The sequence below is a fragment of the Homo sapiens genome, chromosome 11, assembly GCF_000001405.40.
Source record: "Homo sapiens chromosome 11, GRCh38.p14 Primary Assembly".
Taxonomy (NCBI): domain Eukaryota; kingdom Metazoa; phylum Chordata; class Mammalia; order Primates; family Hominidae; genus Homo; species Homo sapiens.
The window spans coordinates 100,007,621-100,026,337 of record NC_000011.10 but is presented as its reverse complement, the minus strand read 5'-3'; the positions used below and the strand labels follow the sequence as shown (position 1 = coordinate 100,026,337).

The window sequence follows — 18,717 nt, the reverse complement described above, 5'->3', positions numbered from 1 at the left end:
GGTTTAATTGACTCAAAGCTGGGGAGGTTTCAGGAAACTTACTATCTTGGTGGAAAGTGAAGAAGAAGCAAGGCATCTTCTTCACCAGGCGTCAGGAAGAAGAAGTGTGGAGCAAAGTGGGAAGAGCCCCTTATAAAACCCTCAGATCTCATAAGAACTTACTCACTATCATGAGAACGGCATGAAGGAAATGGTCCTCAATGATTCAGTTACCTTCACCAGGTCTCTCCCTTGACACATGGGGATTAAGGGGATTACAATTAAAGAGGAGATTTGGGTGGGGACACAAACCCTAAACATATCATTCTTCCCCTAGCCCCAAACAAATCTCATATCCCTTTCACATTTCAAAAGCAGTCATGCCTTCACAACAGTCCCCCAAATTCTTAATTAATTCTACCATTAACCCAAAAGTCCAAGTCCAAAGTCTCATCTGAGACACGACAAGTCCCTTCTACAAATGAGCCTGTAAAATCAAAAGCAAGTTAGTTACTTCCTAAATATAATGGGGATACAGGCATTGGGTAAACAAATCCATTTCAAATGGGAGAAATTGGCTGAAACAATGGGGCTACAGGCACCATACAAGTCCAAAATCCAGTGAGGCAGTCAAATCTTAAAGCTCTGAAATGATCTCCTTTGACTCTGTATCTCACTTCCAGGTCATGCTGAAGCAAAAGGTGGGTTCCCATGGTGTTGGGCAGCTTCACCCCTGTGGCTTGGCAGGGTACAGTCCCCCTCCCAGTTGTTTTCATGGGCTGGCATTGAGTGTCTGCAGCTTTTCCAGGCTCATGGTGGAAGCTGTCAGTGGATCTATCATTCTGGGGTCTAGAGGACAGTGAACCGCTTCTCACAGCTACAGTAGGCAGTGCCCCAGTGGGGACTCTGCAGGGGGTGTCTCCAACCCAACAGTTCCCTTCTGCACTGCACCAGCATAGGTTCTCCATGAAAGCTCAAGCCCTGCAGCACACCTCTGCCTGGACATCTAGGCATTTTCATAAATCCTCTGAAATCTAGGCAGAGATTCCCAAACCTCAATTCTTCACTTCTGTGTACCTGCAGGCCCAAAACCATGTGTAAGCCACCAAGGCTTGGGGTTTGCACCCTCTGAAACAATGATCTGAGCTGTATTTTGGCCTCTTTCAGCCACAGCTGGGATGCAGGGCACCAAGTCCTAAGACAGCACAAAGCAGCATGGCTCTGGGCCCAGCCCACAAAACCATTTTCCTCCTCCAAGGCCTCCAGGCCTTAGATGGGAAGGGTTGCAGTGAAGACCTCTGACATGCCCTGGAGACATTTTCCCCATTGTCTTGGTGATTAACATTTGGCTTCCCATTAGCTATAAAAGTTTTTGCAGCCTGCTTGAATTTCCCCTCAGAAAATGGGTCTTTCTTTTCTATCGCATTGTCAGGCTGCAAATTTTCCAAACTTTTAGGTTCTGTTTCCCTTTTAAACATAAGTTCCAATTCCAAACCATCTATTTGTGAAGGCATAAAACTGAATGTTTTTCAGAGCACCCAAGTCACCTCTTGAACATTGTGCTGCTTAGAAATTTCTTCTGCCAGACACTCTAAAACATCTCTCTCAGGTTCAAAGTTCCACAGATCTCTAGGGCAGGGACAAAATGCCACTAGTCTCTTTGCTAAAGCATTTGCAAGCATCACCTTTATTCCAGTCACCAACAAGTTCCTCATCTCCATCTGAGACCACCTCAGCCTGGACTTCATCGTCCATATCACTATCAGCATTTTCGTCAAAGCCATTCAATAAGTCTCTGGGAAGTTCAAAACTTTCCCACATCTCCCTGTCTTCTCCTGAGCCCTCCAAACTGTTCCAACCTCTGCCTGTTACCCAGTTCCAAAGTTGCTTCCACATTTTTGGGTATCATTATAGCAGTGCCCCACTCCCAGTACCAATTTGTTGTATTAGTTCTCATACAGCTATGAAGAACTGCCTGAGACTGGGTAATTTATAAAGGAAAGAGGTTTAATTGACTCATAGTTCCACATGGCTGGGGAGGCCTCAGGAAACTTACAATCATGGGGGAAGGTGAAAGGGAAGCAAGGCACCTTTTTCACAAGGTGGCAGGAAAGAGAAGTGCCTAGCAAAGGGGAAAGCGACCCTTACAAAACCATCAGATCTCATGAGAACTCACTCACTATCATGAGAACAGCATGAAGGAAACTGCCTTCATGATTCAGTTACCTCCACCTGGTCTCTCCCTTGACATGTGGAGTTTATAGGAATTACAGGGATTACAATTCAAGATGAGATTTGGGTGGGGATAAAAAGCCTAGCTGTATCACCCTCCTTGGTATATAACAAAAGGAGTTGAAAACTTATATCGACACAAAACCATGCACATGGATATTTACAGCAGCTTTATTCATAAGTACCAAAATTTGGAAGCAGCTAAGAGTCCTTTAGTAGCTGAATAGATAAATGAACTGTGGTATATCCAGACAGTGGAACAACATGAAGTATTAAAAAAAAAATTAGCTATCAAGCCATGAAAAGACATGGAGAAAACTTAAGTGTGCATTACTAAATTTAAAAAGGCCAACCTGAAAAGGCAACATATTTTATGGTTTCAGTCATATGATATTCTGGAAGAGGTAAAACTGGAGACAGTGTAAAAATCAGTGGTTGCCAGAGGTTAGGGATAACAGAGAGATGGGTAGATGGAACCCAGAAGATTTGTAGGGATTTTGAAACTACTCTGTATGATACTGTAATGGTAGATATATGTTGTTATACATTTATTCAAATCCATAGAATTTAGAACACTAAAAGAAAACTCTAATGCAAATTATGGTCTGTGTGTGATAATAATATGTCACTGTAGGTGTCTCAGTTGTAAAAAATGTACCATCCTGGTAGATGATGATAACAGAGGAGACTGAGAATGTGTAGGGGCAGACAGGATATAGGAAATGTCTGCACTTTTGCTCACTTTTGCGGTCAGCCTAAAACTGCTCTAAACAATAAAGTTCTTTTTAAAAAAATCCTGAAAAAATCAAAATTTCACTGTCTGATAAAACACACTGGAGGTGATTAACAGAAGATCAAATATTGCGAAAGAAAATTAGTAAATTTGAGGATACAGCAATAGAATCTATCAAAAGGTGAAACATACAAAGACAAAAGAAAAGCGATGAAAAATGATCACAGCATCGTTGAACAGTGGGTAATTTCAAACAGACTATTATATGTGTAATTGTAGCTTCCAAATTAAAAGGAGCAGGAGAATAGAAAAACTTCCTTGAAAAAACAATGGTCAAAAATTTTGGCTCCCAGAAGCTCAATGTACCACAAGCACAAGAAACATGAAGAAAACTAAATTAGGTACACTATAATAAAATTCCATAAAACTTATTATAAAGAGATAATCTTGAAAGCAGTCAGAGAAAAAAAACCACATTATATACTCAGGAACAGATATAAGAGTAACAGCTGAATTCTTGTCAAAAATTATACAAGTTAGAAAATAGTAGAGAAACATATCTGAAGTACTGAAGGAAGAAGATATTGGTCTGTAATTCTTTAATCAGTGATAATATGTTTTAAAAACAAAAGTGAAATAAAGACATTCCTTAGGCATACAAAAGTTGAAATAATTCATAATTATTAGGCCTACCTACAATTATGTTGGAGGAACAGGCCGAAAGAAAATAACGCCAGATTAAACCAGTTATCTAAACAAAGAATTTGAAAGCATTGAAAATGGTAACTACATGGACAAATATAAATTAATGTTCTCATTATTTATATCTCTTTGAAAGATTAACCAGCTGTTTAAAGTCAAACAAATAGTATCATTGTACTATGGGCTTTATAATATGTGGAGAAGTAATACTATCTAACTAAAGAGATAAAATAGAATAAAATACACCATTAACACAAAAGAAGGTAGAATAAAGAATAGAATGTACAAAGAACATAGGGGACAGATAGAAAGCAAATAGCAGGATGCTAGATTTAAACACACCATGTCAATAACTACTTTAAGAGGAAGATACTGTTATGTTGGTTTAAAAAGTAAGACCCAACTACATACTGCCTAAAAGAAATCTATTTTAAATATGAAAACTCAAAACGGTTTAAAAGTAATAGCAGGTTAAATAATACACCTTGCAAATAATGCTGTGATGGTTAATATTAAGTGTCAACTTGATTAAATGGAAGAATGCAAAGTATTGTTTCTGGGTGTATCTGGGTGTTTCTGGGTGTTGCCAGAAGAGATTAACATTTGAGTCAGTGGACTGGGAGAGGAAGACCCACCCTCAGGAAGACCTACCCACAATGTGGTGGGCACCATCCAATCAGCTGCCAGTGAGGCTGGAAAAAGCAGGGAGAAGAAGGTAGAAGAAAAAGCTGTCTTGCTGAGTCCTCCAACCTTCATCTTTCTCCTGTGCTGGTTGCTTCCTGCCCTCAAACATCAGACTCCAAGTTCTTTGGCTTTTTAACTCTTGTTCCTACACGAGTGGTTTGCCAGGGGCTCTTGGGCCTTTGGCCACACACTAAAGGCTGCACTGTCAGCTTCCCTACATTTGCTGCTTTGGGACTTGGACTGGTTTCCTTGTTCCTCAACTTGCAGATGGCCTACTGTGGGACTTCACCTTGTGATCATGTGAGTGATTTCTGCTTAATAAACACTCTTTCATATATACATACATCCTATTAGTTCTGTCCCTCAAAGAGAAAGCTGAAGTATCTGTATTAATATCAGACAAAGTTGATTTTAGAGCAAAAAATATTATCATGTATAAACAGGAATATTTTATAGTGGTAAAGGAGACAATTTATCGAGAAGCATAAACATCCTAAAGTATGTACACTATATAATAGAGATTCAAAATATATGGGGCAAAAGTGATAGAAATGCAAGGAGAATCAGACAGATCTACAAATATATTAGAAAATTTCAACTCTTTTCTGTATAACTTACAGAAGAACTAGACAGAAATCAATAAAGATATAGAAGATTTGAGCAACACATTCAACCAACTTAAGCTATTTGACATTTGTAGACTAGTCCACTCACTAACAGCAGTATGTAAATTCCCATGTGCACATAAGTCATTTACCAAAATACAACAAATTCTTTGTCATAAGACAAGTCTCAATACATTTAAAGAGTTTAAATCACAAAAAGTGTGTTATTTGACCATAATGTAATTAAAATGGAAATTAATAACAGAAAGACAGAGAAATGCTAAAATATTTGGAAGCTAAATAACATACTCATAAATAACTAAATTTTAAAAAAATTCATAAAATAAATTAGAAATCATAGAACTGGAATTTTGATAGGGACTGCATTGAATTCGTAAATTGCTTTGGGCAGTACGGACATTTTAACAATATTAATTCTTTCAATCCATGAACAGAGGGTATCTTTCTATTTATTTTTTTCTTCTTCAATTTCTCTCATCAATATTTTATAGTTTTCAGTGTACAAACCTTTAACCTCCATGGTTATATTTATTGCTAAGTATTTTATCTTTTTGATGCTATTGTAAATGGATTTATTTTTAATTTCTTCAGATACTTTGTTGTTAGTGTACAGAAACACCATTCATTTTTGTCTGTTGATTTTGTATTCTGCGATTTACTGAATTTGTTTATTGGTTCTAATAGCTTTTTGTTGGACTCTTTAATGTTTTCTGCATATAAGATTATGTCATCTGCAAACAGAGATAATTCATATGAAACCATAAAAGATCTTCAATAGCCAATGCAAGCTTGAGCAAAAAGAACAAACTGGGTGCATTATACTTCCTGATCTCAGAATCTACCACAAAGTTATAACAATCAAAACAGCATGGTACTGGCACAGAAACAGACATATAGGCATATGGAAGAGAATTGAGAATCAAAAAACGAGTTGACACATCTACAGTTAACTGTTATTTGACAAAGGTGCTAACAACACACCATGAGGAAAGGACAGTCTTTAATAAATGGTGTAGGAAATACTAGATATTCACTTGCAGGTGAATAAAATAGGGCCTTTGTCTCACCCCATATACAAATATCACCTTTCAATGGATTAAAGACTTAAATGTAAGACCTAAAACTGTAAAACTGCTGAAAGAAAACAGAGGAAAAAGCTTCTTGATTGTTCCTTGTAAAGATTTTTGAATATGACTCTAAAATCACAGGGAACAAAGCAAATATGAACAAATGAGATCAAATCAAACCAAAAAGCTTCTGCCTGATAAAACAAACAATCAACAGAGTGAAAAGGACAACCTATGAGATGGGAGAAAATATTTGCAAATCATATATATGATAAAGATTTAATATCCAAAACATATAAGAAACTTAGTAGCAATAAAACAAATAACTTCATGAGAAAATGAGCCAAGGATTGAATAGACAGTTCTCAAAAAAAGAGGTACAAATGGTCAACAGGTATATGAAACCACAATGTGGTATCACCTCACATGTCTTAGAATGACTTTTACAAAAAGACAAAAGATAACAAGTATTGGCGAGGACGTGGAGAAAACGGAACCCTTATAAATTGGTGGTGGACATGTAAATTGGTATAGCCTTCATGGAAAAGATTATAAAGATTTCTCAAAAACTAAAAATAAAACCACTATATGATCCAACAATTCTACTTCTGAGTATATATCCAAAAGAATTGAAATCAGCATTTTAAAGATATCTGCATTCCTGTTTTGGCAGCATATATTTATAACAGCCAAGATACGCAATCAGCTTAAGAGTCCATCAACAAATAAACAGATAAAAGTAGGTGATATATATACATAATGGAATATTATTCACCCTTGAAAAAGAAGGAAATCCTGTCATTTGTAACAACATGGATGAACCTGGAGGACATTCTGCTAAGCGAAATAAGCCAGACATAGAAACGCGAATATTGCATGATCTCATTTATATGTGGAATTTAAAAATGTCAAACTCATATAAGTGGAGAGTAGAATGGTGATGACCAAGTTTGATATTCATTGAAAATAATGAACTTTGATCCATACCTGTATCATACAAAAATTAATTCAAAATACAGCAGAGACTTAAATGGAAAACATAAAACTATAAAACTTTTAGGAGAAAATGTAGGAGAAAACCTTTTGCCCTTGGTTTAGGCAAATATATCTTAGCTATGGCACTAAAATCTCAATCCCCACAAAAAATTGAAAATTTGGACTTCATCAAAATTTAAAACTTGTACCTTTTGAGACACACTAGTAAGGCAATAAAAAGACAGTCCCAGAGTGGGAGAAAATATTTGCGAATCACATATATGATAAAGGACTTGTTTCCAGAATTTTAAACAACTCTCACGCAAAATTTAATAATAAAAATATCAACATCTCAGGCAAAAATATTGGCAAGCTATTAACTAAAGAAATATGCAGTTATCAAATAAGCACATAACACAGTCAATATCATTAGTCACTGGGGAATCCAACATAAAATGTGACACCACTACATGCATATTAAATGGCATAATTACAGATTAACCAAGTTTTGGCAAAGACGTGGAGGTACTTGGACTCTCCAACACTGCTGCTAATAATAATGCAAAATAGTACAACTACTTTGAAAAATTGTTTAGCAATATTTTCAATAGCTACACATACTCCTACCATATCGTTTAGCCATTCCACTCATAAGTATTTATCTAAGAAAAACTTTCAATGCTTATGTGCATATAAAGACTTCTAAACAAATGTTCATGGAAGATTTATGGTAATAGCTGAAACATGGAATCCAAATGTCTATCAACAGGTGCACAGATGCACGCATGGTGGTAGAGCCATAAAATGGAACACTACTGTGCAATATAAAGGAATGATCTATTGACACATTCAACAACTTGTATGAATCTTAAGATAATAATTCTAAATGAAAAAAGGCAAACTCTCCCACTCTCGGTCAAAAGAGTAGATATTGTATGATTTCAGTTATGCATGACTAGAAAAGGTAACGTAGTCTATAGTGACAAAACATACAGGATCAGTTTCCTGGGGTTGAGGATGCGTGGATGGGAAGGAGGAAGAGATTATAAGTGTACATGTAGAAATGTTAATAGGTAGGTACTGGATATGCTTATTATGTGGATTGTGCGATGGTTTCATGGTAAAAATACGTATGTTAAAATGTGTTAAATTCTACAGTTTAAACATTTTATTGTGTTCCAATTATATGGCAATAAAGCTTTTAAAAAGATGCCTGAAGAAATACTTTAGCAGTACAGTTAATTTACTTAATTGTACTTTTGACTTAATATATTGTGTTTTCTCTACACATTTAAGTCACGGAAAATGTATTAGAATATTTGTTATTTCTATTATACCCATTTTACCCCCCCAAACAAAAGTCAAACAATAACCAAATGGTCTAACCACCTGATGCACAATCTCTTTCAGTCTTTGTCTATTCTATTTTCTTTTATTTGTAACACATAGTCAATAAAACCCACAGACTAAAGATAATGCAGGCAGTGCAGGCAGAGGGATTCTCCTGGACTAGCTTCCTTTGTATTTCAACCCTTCTTTCCAAAAAGTGTTTGTGTGTGAAATCCCATAGATGGCATGGTTGGAGTAACAAACACTGTTGACGCTACAATAACTCTTGATGATTTTATAAAATGAAAATATGTAGTCAACAATCATTTATTCTAAAATCTTTCCAGTACTATGAGAGATCTTTTGTTTATTAACTCAGATTTTAAATATTAAACTGCACATAGATGGAGGAAGTACATGTCATCACTCAGGTTCTAATTTAATTGATCCCTAAGTTAGTGTTTATATATGCCAATTTTAGTCTATCTTACTCTAGTTTATCACATTCAAGATACAGTCTTTGACTGTAAGACACACCACTACTTTAAGACACACCACTATCTCTAAGAAAGAAAACACTGCCAATTAAACTACAACACAACATTGAGTGCAATATACATCTGGATTTCAGAGATATTAAAATGCAAAAAAAGTATGCATTGGGTCTACTAAATCTATGCTTTCTCTCAACAGAATGTGGCTAAATGTAATGGAATGACATGAAGTGGAGGCTTGAAGATATTCTTCCTCTGTGTGTCTGTACGGGAAATACTGATGTGTGTTCTTCTTTTGGAAATGTTGTGAAGGCTGCATTTCTCTGTAGGGATATATAAAACAAGTGACCTGATTTCATAATGTACCTTTCTTTGAGAAAAAGGCCATAAATAAAACATTCTCAAAGTTGTAATGTAGATTGATTCAACCTCCCAAAGAAAAGAAAAGTGGGAATAAAAATGATCAAAAGTACTTATCATTTAGCTTTGGTACCATAAAGCAGCAGCAGACATATGTTCTCATCGACTATCTTTTTAAAATCTATTGGCTATTAATGAGAATTATGTTTTTCAGACCAAAAATCATCCTTATAAAGCTTTGACATGGAACCTGTTCTGCACCATTTAACTACCAACAAAACCAGTGACCGGTCACACAAGGTAGGTGCTGCTACATTACATTGTAAATTAAAAAACAAAGAAAAAACAGGGTGGTAGATGTTGAGTTTATGTCTCGGCATATTCATTCTCAATAGTCTTTCTGTGGATTTAACCACTCACACACACACATGTGCATACATAAACATGCTTACATGTTTCACTTATGCAAGAAATATATTAAATCTAATTGTAGCAAATGCCACCATGTACATACGGCTCTACCATCAAAAATCAAGCAAACAGCCTGGGACAATGGATGTAAAAAGCACCAAATCAAAAAATAATGAAAACCTTTATTTCACTGTCATATAAAGTAGAAAATGCCTAGATATAATGAAGATTCATGAATAATCTAAGGCAACGAAGAATGAGCTATAAGACAATTCAGAACCACACTGATTATACATTGCACATGTATAATCATTTATTTAATTGCATATTTAAATAGTATATTTACAAAATAAAAGTAAAGAATATGAAGTTGCAATATTTTAACTTTACAGCAAATTGCTTTACAATAAAATTATTACAGAGATAGATAAAACTTATGTTACTTGTATGATATGGGCATAGGAGATGTTTTTGAAAAATGTAATTCAGATAACAGCCTTTCCCTGTAATTTCACCCTCCCTTCTCCCGTATCTATGGCATTTGTTTTCAAGTTGTATGATGCACTGAGAGGGATATTCCAAAGGTAAACATAGACTTTTGTCTCTGATTACTTATTTGGTGAGAACATAAATAAATTGTATATATGGTCTTCTGTGTTCTGCCTGTTAAAAGCATCAGAGACATAAGAGAAAGTTTTCTCATATTACAACTCTCTGGCAAGGGATACTAAAAACAAATAAATATGATGTATCACGTACATGTCAGAATAAATTCTGAATTGGGAAGAACAAGAATGAACTAGAATGAATGGAATTAAGTATTTGTAGAAATATTTCTGACATCATATAATTATAATTCTAGATTAGAAACTATAAGTATGTGCCTAACAAGGATAGGATTCCTATTGAATAATCTAAAGGAAATCATCAACACCTTATGTAATTAATTTTAAAAAAAGCCTATGCTTTTGGAAATTTTAATATAGGGTCATGAAACTAATACTAAAAAATTTTATCATGTAAAATATTTGTATTGTTTTTTAAAATTAAGTGTCTTGAAAAAGTACAGAATAATAACAATCACAACAATAAAATTAGTTTTTCCGTACCACCACCCAGAGAAGAGATGCTTGTAATCTTGCTGATGTGTGCTAAATATACAAGAATATTTTGAGAAAAGAACTGCAATCCATGAATTTGCAGTACCTTGTTAGTTACAGACCACAGGGAAGTGTGTGCACTTTGCTCTTACTCTGTGCTTATAGGCCACCAGATTTTTAATTAGTCCTGTTTCCACTGAGGGCATTTCTTACATGAATGGGCCACCAGTGATGGTTATTAGCAAGTTATCACAGTTTGTTTTTCATTAGAGTGACTTTGGTAAGGCAACTCAACATGCTAGAACCCAAGTAGAAAAATTGTTTCTGAAATTTGGGCATACCAGCACAGATATTACTGCATAACACCCTACTAGGATGATGCCATAATTTGAGATAGAGACTAAGACGGACTGAGCTTTTATTTTTACAATCTAAATGCCTAGACATGTTTAGTCTCAGGCTTATACGTTTTTTAATATATTGGTTTATTCGTGCTTCCCCTTGAGTACATATATATACCTATTACATTGATAAATGACTTAATTCAGTTAACAAATGTTCATTATGCACCAAGTCAGTGGTAATCAATTTAAGAGACATTTATGGTAATCAAACAGATGATGATAAAAAGGAAGAAAGAGTCAAAGATATTTAAAATTTTATACCTTTGGAAAACGCCTAAATGGTCACCCGTAGTGATAATAAAAACTCCTTATGTAGGCTGATGATGGGTGAGTGTGGAGAGTTGTGCTTGGTTTGGAGTTCTAGAAACCCAGCCTGATCCCACATGCTGTGGACCAAGGTATTGAAGAACATCAAATAGGCTAAATTAAGAGGTGCAGTTGGAGTCAACAATCAAATAAAAAGTCCAAAATAACATCAGAGTATATGAGATAGGAGTGATTTGGAAACCAGGAATAAGGTCCGGGGAACAATAGACAACCAAACAGATAAAGTGAATGGAGCAGGGCCTATGAAAGCAGCACTTGGAGAAATTCCCAAAGCTAATGAAGCATCAATAAAAATCTATGTATTTTTAATTTTTAATTTATTATTATTTTTTTTTGAGACGGAGTCTCACTCTTTAGACAGGCTGGAGTGCAGTGGCGCAATCTCGGCTTACTGCAACCTCCGCCTCCCAGGTTCAAGCGATTCTCTTGCCTCAGCCTCCTGAGTAGCTGGGACAACAACATCTCTAGTCTTATTTGCAGCAGAGGTAAGAGAGCCAAATTTGTCCAATAATAATAGATTTGAACTATGTTTGTGAAAAATAGAATAAAATGGAGAGGGGGGACTTGAGAGGTTTTAAATGTCTGGCAGATTGGGATGGAAGATTTGGCAGAGGTCGATAATGATGCCAATGGTTTGAGGTGAGTTAGAGATACTGCTGTTATGCAGAGGGCTGCATCAAATGTGGTATATATAACATTAGTAATTCACACTAGATCATCACATATTCAAATTTTCAAAGTTATTGAAATAATAAATACAAAATTTTTGAATGCATGAAATTCTAATGGCATGCACATTACTGACACTTGGTACCTAATTTCCAAGTTACCATGAAATCATTCTAAGAACTGCATATGAAAACCTTCTTGAAGTTCTAAATTGATCTTTCTCTAGTGGAGAAGTTTGTTGTTCTCTTAGCTTAACTAATACAAATATGACTATATTAGACACATGACGAGCATGCTTAGTTCAAAGTACAGTGATTCAGTAAGACACATACTACTTTTAAGAATACATGTACTATGATAGATTTAAAAATTGAGTATTGTCATAAAACATATGAGATAGAATGAGATCTCAAACAAAGATATTCAAGCAAGTTTATTGTTAGATAAATCGGCTTTAAAAGTAGCAATATAGTTGTTAAATCACCATTAGAAGAGATAACTGTTAGGGAAACATTTCAATTTCTAGTAGAATACTCAGTGGGAATTTGTGGATGATGATGATATAACACTTTTAGAAATCCAAGACTGTGAGAGTTCAAAATAAGGAAACAGGTCAAATGGGATACATAATTTGCCTAAATTCATTCCTGTTTGTAATCCAGTGAGATAACATGTCAGAGATGTTGTTGGAATCTGAGTGTGATATGGAAACCATCCAGGACAAGGTAGAAGTTTAGTTTTACATATACTCAGATTGTTGACAACTTTTTGGTTAAAATTGTCCTTTTTTGTTCCACTGATGTCCTATTCAAGTGTCAAGATTATGTACCTGGTGATTCTTGTAGGGGTATGGGATACAATAAAGTTAGAAACTTCTGATGGATATACTAAGTCTTTTTTATTATTTGTATAAGTTTATGGGGTACAAGTGCAGTTTGGTTACATGGCTATATTGTGTAGTGGTGAAGTCTGGGCTTTTAGTGTAATCATTAACTGACTAATGTACCTTATACCCATTAAGTAATTTCTCATCTGTCACCCGTTTCCCACCCTCCCACACTTCTGAGTCTCCATTGACTATTACTCCACAGCATATGCCCATGTGTACACATTATTTGGCTCCCATTTGTAAGTGAGAACATGTGGTATTTCTCTTTGTTTCTGAGTTGTTTCACTCAGGATAATGGCTTTCAGTTATGTACATGTTGCTGCAAAAGGCATAACTTCATTCTTTTAATAAAGTAATTCTTTACATCCTGTTTTTGAATCTCAGCATCCAGATAGTTGCTGATCTTACGATCATCCCAGAGGAAGAAACTTTTCCATGGAAATTCCTGGGAGATTAACTTAAAAGAAAGCTGTTGGATAAGTCTAAACTAATCCAAGTAAAAATCTTACAATTTGGGGATTATCTTTTGCTTCATGTTCTTGTTAACTTGTCTTGCCTATTAAGATTCCTAATTCTCACTCACTGAGATGCTTCAGGGCATTCAGAATATAATGTTTGCTGTGACAAAGTAAAAATTACTCTTAGCAACTGAAAAACTGTAAACTGAGAATACTATTAATTAGCATCAGGGTATCTAGTTCTGCCTCTATAGGCCACACACATTAGCTGTTTGGCCTTGCACATGTATACAGTTTCTCTCCTGAGGCAGGTTAACTAGTTCTAGGGCAGCCGTGGAAAAGCTGGAAATATGATGCCAGTTAACTTTGACTCTAAATGTGAATAATAAATTGGTCCTGTTTCCCTGAAAACACATAACACCTCTCAGTGTAAAAGCCTATAAGTAAATTAAATATTTCCTTCAAAGTTTGCCCTATGAAAGAATGTTGAACACGTCAAGAACATCACAGGAAGTTGCATCAAAACATTAGCCTGAGCGGTACATCCACACGTCTAGCCATTCCTTGAGAAGTCTCAGTTTTCCATTTACAAATTCACGTTTGTTAGGTCATGCAATCCTTAAGGTTCTTTTAGGATCCATCACCTCTGGGTACCATCTGAAATGAGGATGTGTCCTTCATCTCAACCATACTAAAGCAAGCAATAGTTCATGATGGCAATTTTCTTGATTCTGTAATGCACCACTTTCCTGTGAGGCCTAAATGTTTATTGATTCCAACACCCAGAGACTGACTCCTATCCCCAGATCTTCTGTCAACCTAATGATTAAGTAATTTGATTTTAGTTTGATAGACAAATACCACATAACTCCAATTCATTTTTAATTCCTACAGCCCTTAGTGACTGGCAGCTCCAAATAAACAGTATTAATAAATCATCAATCTGTAACTAAAGAGCAGGTTCTTCCAGGAACGTTTGCCAGTTGCACACTGTAGGAAGTCTCAGAGGAATATTTGTCATTCTCACAGTTACAATGGGACACAAGAGCAGCCATTTGAGACAGCTTAGCTAAGGGGTGAGGAAAGGAAAACATAAACTACAGCAAAAATAATTTTATGAATTGATAACTAGTGGCTTTTTATTTACAGTAAACATATAAAAAGAGAAAAAAATACTTAATACCCTGGTTCCCTAATAGGCATTTGATGGAGTGTAACAAAAGACTATTTGTAAATGGTATCTGAAAGAGAGATAAGCAGGAACTAAAAAGGGCAGGAAATTGAATGTGTTCTTCCCTCCCACCTCACCACAAGATTTCAGATGAGTTTGCAAAGGTCATTCACATAATTATTACAGTAACAGGTTCAAGGCCTTTTGAGCAGAGCAGATCTGATTGTGTGTTAATGGCTGCAAGAGCAAGATAAGAAACATGTAAAATTTTTTAAAAAGAGAGAAAAAAAGAGAAAATCTGCCTGTAACACTATTAGCTGGCAGGCCTGTCATTATGGATAAACTGATGTTGTTTTGTAGCGTTTGGCTTTTTTATTACAGAGTAACCCTGTTTGCCCTTGTGTATTGGGTCATTTAAGCATCAGTGACCAGATTTTACTTCTGTTTCTGTTGGAGGCTAGTTGACATATCTAGTGCTCTTTCTAGGGTCTGTAAAAGGTCACACGGTGAAATGAAACTTGCCAGAAAACTATAGCTAATGTAAATGTGGTAAGAATTTTCAAGGCCAAAACATGTGAAAGCATCTGGAGACATCTGTCTGGCCAAACCAAAGGCAGTAACACACCTCCTGTTATGAAAGATCAATCACATTTCTCATACCTGAATTCATTCAGTGTACATATTCAGCACCTGCTGCATCTAATAATGCTCTAGGGATCCCAAAATTCAGCACACTAAAGAAGACAGATATCTATAGCTGTTCCAGTGGGGCAGGCTAAATAGTGAAATGTAGGTGGTCACACTGAAAGGTAAGAGACTGGAGCTCAAGAAAAGCAGGGAGGATTAATGGAGGAGGGGCATTTGACGTAAGCCTTACTGAATAGGATTGTGGGGCAGGATAGATATTTTAGACAGAGGAAACTGTGTCACAGAGCCACAGATGTGGCAAAGCCAGGATGGCTGAGGTATAGTAAGGGGTGCAGTTGATTAAGAGATGGGTTTGAAAATGTCAAGTGGAATTGGTGCTACTGTTTAAATGACCACCTCTCAGCTCCATCCTCTACTAGGCTTTGTGGTACTGGGGCAAGGGTTCTGAAAACCACATTTCTACACTGCCAGGAGGGGGCACTGTAGGGAGATTGCAAGGCTGAAGAAGCCAGAAGGAACACCATCGTTGTTTATTTCCTGTGGGCTTCCCAGGGGCTTCCTGTCAGCTCGATAGCCCCTGAATGGCACCTCAGCAGGGAATCCTTCCCTTAGCAGCAATAAAATACAGTTCAAGTTTTTTCCCAACACTTTCAGGAGAGGCTTCATTGTGTCCCACTTCGTCCATTCCTCAGAATTCTTGGTCCTAGGGGTACATCTGAGGTTCTAATTTTTATTAATTCTAATTCTTTTTTTCCCCCCTTACCTCTAGAGATGGTAGCTGCTTTCTGTAGTTACTGACTTTCCATAAAGTTCTCATTTTTACCCTGTGTTACTTAGTTAACAACTTGTATGGGCTGGACTTAAACACTGAGCACACCCAGTTGAAAACATCACCAATGTTTAATTATATACTGCATTTAGAAAGAACCACTGAAATGAAATATTTATTAGGGTCCTAAGGGATTCCTTGCTTGCATTGTCCCTTGACCCCTTTATCTCTCAATCCCTTTCAAGAGTATTGTACCTGATGTTTAAAAGCCGACCTTGGAAATATCCACAATAACCCCATTTCCATTAAGGTCCCTAGATTGAATGCTGAGCAAGAAAAGTCAACACTCATCATTTCTACTTCCTGGATATGCCACCAACCGGTTTGAAATGTTATGTAATAATGTCACTGCCAAAAGGCAGTTAATTAAGTCTGCCTGATTCTATCCTTCTACTCTTAATATTCAGCCTGAGAATGTGTGGATGGGCAGCCAGCAAAAGAAAATATTTAAATTTTCGTTTCCAATCCTGACCCAGATCATTTCTCTCCTTTCAGGGAACATTACATCTAAACCATTAGAAGACAAATGGGCATTATTATATTCTTACAGCAGTTCAGGCAAAGAGCTTCCACTGCCTCTCCTGATAACCCAGTTTCCCTGTAACAACTCATTTTTTCATGAACTTCTACATTACACCCAATCTAATTCTTCTAGTTTAATCCCATACTGTTGGAATTTCACTCCCTCCCTTGTTGAAACTGGAGAACAGCTTGTGAGCAATCTCTTGATAATAACCTTCCATATGTCTAAACCAGTCTTTTCTTTCCAACTAATTAATCCCCCTCCATTTTTTTTTTTACACTTTGCTGTGTTACCCAAGCCTTTACATACCTTTGTTTCCCTATGGGTTCTCTTGAAACACTTCCCATTTTTCTGGGGAAATACCTTTACAGACAGTATAGCATGATATAGCATGTCACGGTCACTTTAAAAGTTCTGTACTCAACCTTGTGCAATTCTATTTTAAGAGCTATTTCTAGGAGTAAACTAGTACACTCTTGTTGAGTTCTGCTCCAGCAGCCTGTAGAGAAAACATCTGAATTTTCGCTAAATTCAGATTTAAGTAGAGGTTTCTTTAGGAGAAAGCTTGCAGCTTATGGCTTTTTAGTAGACTTTTTACCTAACTTCAAATGAGGCAGGTTGGTAAATTTGGGTGATATCAAAATATAGTAAAATTTGATAACCTACAATTATTTGTTTTCTTTTTTCTTAAAGAATATGGGAAAGATATAAGCTTATATATGGAAAAATTATCTGTGCATTATAGCTGCACTAATATGCACGCTCTAAGTAACAAAAACTGAACACCATTAAGGACAGATCATAAAAAGGTAACTGTACTTTCCAAGAGAAATCACAATGAACCAGTATTCTAACACGGTTTGAATGTATGATTCTTTAAAAATCAAAGAAATTTCCTAATTTGGCTTATCGAAGATTCATTAGATCATGTCAAGGGCCAAAGAGAGTTCAAAAGAAGAAAATTTGCTGTTAGGTTGTTAAGTCTTAGTTTAAACTTGGAACCAAAAAGGCGAATAGTGAATTTCTGTGGAGATAAAGGTTGGCTATTAGAGGACAGCTTGGTCAAGGTCCATAGTGTATGTTTACATAATGATTAAGAATGGACTCAAGGTGTAATATTACATTCAGCAAAATATTTGAAGATATAATGCAATTTCTTTGAGAACAGAGACTATGGAAATCCTGGAAGATATGACAGTCCCTAGAACATAGTTGGCTTTCAGAGCTTGCAGACCTGCATTTGGTTCTAGGTTCTTTGAGGTACTTTAGTCTACTATATTTATGAAATGAGCTACACAAAGCCCAACTCTTATATTTTGACACCTCTGAATTAATAAGTGAATTATTTTTTCTTAAGACAGAAGGTACTGGCACACATTATTTTATTGCACTTCACTTTATTGTGTTTTGCAGACACTGTGTTTTTCACAAATTGAAGGTCTGTGGCAATGCTATGTCAAGCAAATCTACTGGCACAATTTTTCTAATAGCCTGCTTTCACTTATTATCACTGTGTCCCATTTTGGAAATTCTTGGAGCATCTCAATTTTTTATTATGTCTGTTATAATGATCTGTGATTAGTCATCTTTCAATGTTATTATTGTAACTGTTTTGAAGCTCCATGAACTATGCCCATAGAAGACAGCAAACTAAAATAATAAATGTATGTGTTCTGACTGTTCCATCAACTGGCCACTCCCTCATCTCTCTCCCTCTCTTCAGGATTTCTTATTCCCTGAGACACAATAATATTAAAATTAAGCCAATTAATAACCCTACAATGGTTTCTAAGTGTTCAAGTGAAAGGAAGAGCAGCACATCTGTCAGTTTAAATCAAAGGCTAGAAATTAAGCTTAGTGAGGAAGGCAAGTCAAAAACCAAGACAGACTGAAAGCTAGGCCTGTGCTCAGTTAGCCGACTTGTGAATGAAAAAAAAAAAGTTTTTGAAGGAAATTAAAATTGCTACCCCAGTGAAAACACAAATGATAAGAAAGCAAAACAGGCTTATTGCTGATAGAAAGAAAGTTTTAATGGTCTGGGTAGATCAAACCAGCCACAACATTCCCTGAAGCCAAAACCTAACTCACAGAAAGGCCCTAAATGTCT

The 18,717-nt window shown here is 36.0% G+C and overlaps 1 protein-coding gene across 12 annotated transcripts in view, besides 1 other annotated feature; it reads right to left on the bottom strand.

Moving 5' to 3' along the window:
* The window catches only part of CNTN5 (contactin 5), a 1,337,937-nt gene that overhangs the window by 332,548 nt on the left and 986,672 nt on the right, over positions 1-18,717 (bottom strand). The gene's annotated exons all lie outside the window — the stretch shown is intronic.
* Positions 15,607-15,901: a silencer, noted in NCBI's record as "tiled region #1581; K562 Repressive non-DNase unmatched - State 13:Ctcf". NCBI's record gives its function as "represses a minimal TATA promoter and a strong SV40 promoter by Sharpr-MPRA in K562 cells {active_cell/tissue: K562}" and the evidence as "EXISTENCE:reporter gene assay evidence [ECO:0000049][PMID:27701403]".